Genomic DNA, 5,517 nt, shown 5'->3' on the forward strand with positions numbered 1-5,517 from the left:
CTCGGTATGTGGCTCTCCTGTTCCCCTGCCAGTCCCGCCCATTGTCTCTGGACCTAATTCAGCACTAGGACTCACGTAAGAGTTTCAGTCCTTACAGCCTAGACTGCCCTTCAGTTTTACTTGGAGACAGAGTGCTGTAGCTCTCAGTGGTGAGGTTTACAGGCATCTCAGTTCAGATGCTGAGATCTGCAATTCCCCTCTGGCTAGGGCTGGTTTAAATGATCCCCCTGTGGGCAGGTGAGTTTGATCAGGTTTTCCTTTCTGCTCCAACAGAACAGCACTTTGTTCAGTGCTTCGCTGTTGCTGTGTTCTCCATCCACCAAGGCCCAGATTTGCTCTCTGCACCAGGTAGCTGCTGCTGGGGGTGGGAGATGAGTGTTGTTGGTGATTCAGAACTGTTTTTTCTATCCAGTTTCTCTTTCAGTGATATGAAGTTAAAACCAGATACTTTGAGTGCTCCCCTGATTTTTGGTTCTTATGAGGGTGTTTTTTTTCTTTGTAGATGATTGTTTACTTGGTGTCCTGGCCAGGGATAACAATGGGTGGAACCTTTTATTTTGCCATCTTGCTCCACCTCCTTCCAAAAATGTAAAATCCACCTTCTTCATATTTCAAAAGAATATTTTGAAGAATCCTATTGGCAGATATAGAAAATAATGCATTATGACTAAATATTAAATTCCTTAATACAAAAATACTAAATTTTAATGTTCTATTTAATGGGAGCAAAATTTTCCCTGATTTGTCAAGAAAATGCATTAGTCTAGTGATTAGACTGAACATAACACAATGATTCAATGAAGTACAAACTCTTATCAGTTGCAGTGTGTCCGTGGTTTTCATAGTTTGCATTTGACAACTTTTCTGCTGCAAACATATGCCAAATTAATGGTTTTATAGCCTTTTACTTGAATCCTGATCAAAGAAAACAATCTGATCTTGTTTTCTTAGCTTGAACTGTCATTAGTGTTTCACATATTAAAAAAATAAAAATTGGGGCCTTGGAAGCCATCATGAAAGTAACAAGTGAGGTTCAAAGCAGTCATCTACTTTACTTCAATGAACATATTCTTCTGAGCTTACTACCTTGGCATTTATTATTAAAAATTTACAAGCTGAAAGGTATTGAGGACTCTGCTAAAATCTTAGAAATACTGATACTGTATTTTATACTCTTTATCACACTAAATTCATATGCCACTAAAGAGTCTAGTGGTCTATAATTGATATATTTTACTATGAGAAAAGCATTTTTCGAGATTCTGTGCAATCTGCATAAAACAGACTTCCTTGAAATATCCGAGTTGTTTTTCAGCTCAAGTGAGGTAAAGAAATTATATTACCCAGTAAAAAATACTTTTAAATATTCCAATTTACCTATGAATAAAGCACAGCATTTTTGTATAGGGTACATCACCAAGCCATGTCTGCCTCAATAGCTTCATCTCTTCACTTACGCGGCACACTTCAGAGCTGAAAAACAACCCTCTGTTTCTCATCTCACACTTTTCTTCATCCAAATTTGTTCTTTTCCTTAACCAACTTCTGTTTATGTTTCAAGTCTCACTGACCTTAAGGGTCTTCTTATCATGGACCCTTCCCTGACCCCAAACTAATCCTTCCACCTATCAGAAAGACCTGTCTCTATATCTGTTCCCTGCATTACATCACGCCATTCCCCTCCCCCACCACCTCTGCCCCTGCAAAATGTATCCCTGTCATTGAATTCATAGCCCTGTGTTGAATTTTTCTTGACATTCTGTATTTCTCTCTAGTCTGTAAACTATTCAGTGTCAAGGATTACATACTATTCAGTTTTGTATCCCACACAGAGATTCAGTCATTTAGTAGAGTTTCCCTAAAAGTTTGTTTAATTTAAATTACCTCAGGAAAGCTGTTTGCTATGATAAATAATGGAGGAATTATTTTTTAAACTATATCAAAGACTGGTAAACTAATTGTTAATAGGATTATGTTTTGACTATGACAAACTATATTTCATACTCTTTAATGTGAAATTTACTAAGTCAAGTGTTAACCTTGCCCACTGTTTATTGAAGGACAACTCCCATTCTACTCCAGTCTACATGGTTCAAGTAAATTTGACCCAATCTCTTGGCTCACAGGTTGAATACAAGATCTAGGTCTCTCTAATTGGGGTATTCCATCCTGTTCCACACCCTGGTCTCAATTACTCATTTATTCAGGAATGGGCAGTGGGTCAAGATAGCTCAATCAAACTTTTCCTAAGATTTCAGTTGTAAGTATGAGACAAAAGGCTTTCTTACACTAGTACAACAAGCTGTAAATTATTTGAGGCTAAAGGATTGTGTAAGCCCAAAATTTTCAAGGAGTATTTCTACGGCTACATAGATACCTGACAATGTAACTGACCCAGAGGACACTACAAACAGGATAGAGACTGAGTATTCCATATCAAACAACACATACAACCCCGTGATCTCTACTGACTAGACTAGGTGGAAATCTGTCTTATGGGCAATCTAAAGTAGATAAATTTCAGATGGCATACAAGGGAGAGGTCTCTGGCCAAACAGCCTAGCCAGTAATCAACTCTTTTTCAGAATTTTAATTAAAAAATAAAAACAGATAAACACAAATCATTATAATAGCTAGGGCTGCAAGGATGCACACAAAGGGTCCAGGAGGCAAGAGGAGTTATGGCAAGCCAGGAAAAAACATAAACAGAAGCTAAGCAGTAAATAAAAGGTACTCAAAGCATGAAGAGAGGCCATTTGCAAAAAAGAAGAAAAGTGAGAACAAAACAATTGTTAACAGTGATAAAGTATTTATACTATGCCCACGCTCTCTTCTAATTATTTTAAGAAGATTATCTCATTTGATATTATATCATATTGCTAATATTCTTCTAAATTTCCTGCATTCATTTATTTGCTTAATAATTTAATGCATTGTTATTGAGCTCATTCTGAGACCATAGAGATAATAAAGGGGGAAAATGATAAAAGGTCTTTGATATCTTGGAGCTTATGCCTAGTCATCCTATATTAATAAAGTCTAACACACTACCAGGTATAGTAAACTATTAACTGGTGAAGAGATATTGAATAAAGTAAAAAGGGAAGACATTTGACCATGTGCCAGAGCTTCAAGAAGTGTGCTCATCTCTTTGACATAGTTTTTTTGTTTTTTGAGACAGAGTCTCACTCTGTTGCCCAGGCTGGAGTGCAGTGGTGCGATCTCTGCTCACTGCAAGCTCTGCCTCCCAGGTTCACGCCATTCTCCTGCCTCAGCCTCCCGAGTAGCTGGGACTACAGGCTCCCGCTACCAAGCTCGGCTAATCTTTGTATTTTTAGTAGAGACAGGGTTTCAGCATGTTCGTCAGGCTGGTCTCGAACTCCTGACCTTGTGATCCACCCGCCTTGGCCTCCCAAAGTGCTGGGATTACAGGCATGAGCCACCGTGCCTGGCCTGACATAATTTTTCTCCGTTAAGTCACACAGATTCACTAGGAGGAATGAAACAGACATACGTGCAGGTTTTCTAATACATCTTTTAATTCTGAGTAGAGAAAACCTAAAATGACTTTTTGTGTGTGTGTAAAACTGGCTCATGATAGAGTGAAAACGAAATGGCAATTTAAGAGAATATTTCCATCACTGTAAGTTTATGGTAGACTGATATATAATATATAAACTAAAATATTATATATATATTTTAGACTGAGATACTTGAGTAAAACTTTGGCATTGCCTTTAACAGAGGTTATATAAATGAATTTAGTGAGTTAGAAAAAAAGACTAATTATTAGGTGTGAAAATCATTTTATGTTGCTTATAATGTTTGAAATTAATTTTTTCTATCATTCAATACTTCTGATTTTCTGAGAATAGCCTTTCGATTTTAACCAGTTTATAAATATAACAAATTACTCTTCATTTTCAGTAGTTTAGATTTCCATTTACAATTTGAGTCTGATAGACTATAAATTGACTGTGATAGACTTAGGTCACAGTTAAAAAGTTATCTTCTTCAGGTTCAGTAATTTATTTACTAACAGTTATGAATATTTGTACACTCAGAGTGTTATTTCAAAACTTTTAGGCAGTAAACTAAATCTTCTAATACATTCAGTTAAATGATTGTTTAACTAACGATGATTATTTACTTTTTATTTAACTAGGTGTTATTTGACATTTATTATAGTATAAATTACACAAAACATCATAATTTGGTGAGGAGATTAAAGATAGCAAGATACATTCAAATCTTCATTAGACATAAATATACTACCAGAACAGTTTGTCATTTTGTTTAAATAATGTCTTTGTCTATAGATGTATTACATATTTATCTGACTTAGGGCAACTGACACCTTTAAACATAGAAGAAGGCTTTCTTATTTTAATAGTAAGAAAAGTAGAAGGATTTGCAGTTCTTACAAAGGAAAGTTTTAAGGAAATGTAAAATAGAGAAATACATATGGTAGAAGTGATTTCATCAATAAATGCAATAGCTCCACTAAATTAATATGTTTTACAAACTTCCATGCACACTAGAAAAAATCTCATTCCAAGCCAAAGTTGCATTAAAATAATTATTACATTTAATCATGCATTTAGATTTTCACGGAATAAGACACGGATTTTGTAAAGAAAGTGTGGATTTGTGGATCTCTCTCTCCTATACTCTGTTGATACTTTCTATATAGTTCTATTATATTCTACAATTATAACACACTAGTAAAAATAAGCAACTAAATTTACCTTACCTGCATGTCAATGCTGCACAAATTTGTTCCTTGCCATTGACTAGACATGTATCATGACATGAAAACACTCCAAAATACTTTAGGGTATCTGTTTTGAAGGCACTATTTTCCTAAAACATAAAATGCACATTTCCTCTGAAAGAACTATTTGTATCATTTTTTTTTTCTGGAATCCATTTCTTTCCATGCTGAAACAGGTTCTAAAATGTAGTACTTTAGAACCATATGGGAACTTATTTTATCAGAATTATTCATTTATCAGTACTTCTTTGGGGCAAGAATTATTTAATAAATGTGCTAATTTTGAATACTATTTCATGTCTAAACATCTGCAAGCCAATGGGTCCAGGTAACTCCCAAGACCCATAACACCTATTCAAATCTATTTTTTTGCATGCTATTTGTTGATTTGCCTATGTAAGTTTGTCATTAATTTCCAGTGTCAGCTTTCATAAATTAGCACAGCCCTCCAAGATTCTAGACTCCTACCTTTGTTCAACCTCTCTACATAGACCTAGTTTTTGCGTAGCAAGTGTCATGTTAACACGGGATACCTATCAATGTGTGAACAGTAGAGGTGAATAATGACTTTGAGATAATTAAACTATTTTTTTCTGTTCTTTTACCCCCAACAGATTCTCACCTATAGTTGTCAACTCTGGGAAAGACCAGACATATTGAAAAGTACAAATAGCCCATAATCACCCTGACTGTTGTGATCAAAGCCTATGAGCAAACACCACGCAAAAATAATGCAGTGCTAG

General features: G+C 35.4%; 1 annotated feature.

Annotated features, from left to right (window-relative positions):
* Positions 438 to 487: an enhancer, noted in NCBI's record as "active region_1412". NCBI's record gives its function as "activates an Ori minimal core promoter by ATAC-STARR-seq in GM12878 lymphoblastoid cells {active_cell/tissue: GM12878}" and the evidence as "EXISTENCE:reporter gene assay evidence [ECO:0000049][PMID:35858748]".

This window comes from Homo sapiens, chromosome 1 (assembly GCF_000001405.40).
Source record: "Homo sapiens chromosome 1, GRCh38.p14 Primary Assembly".
In the NCBI taxonomy this organism is placed as follows: domain Eukaryota; kingdom Metazoa; phylum Chordata; class Mammalia; order Primates; family Hominidae; genus Homo; species Homo sapiens.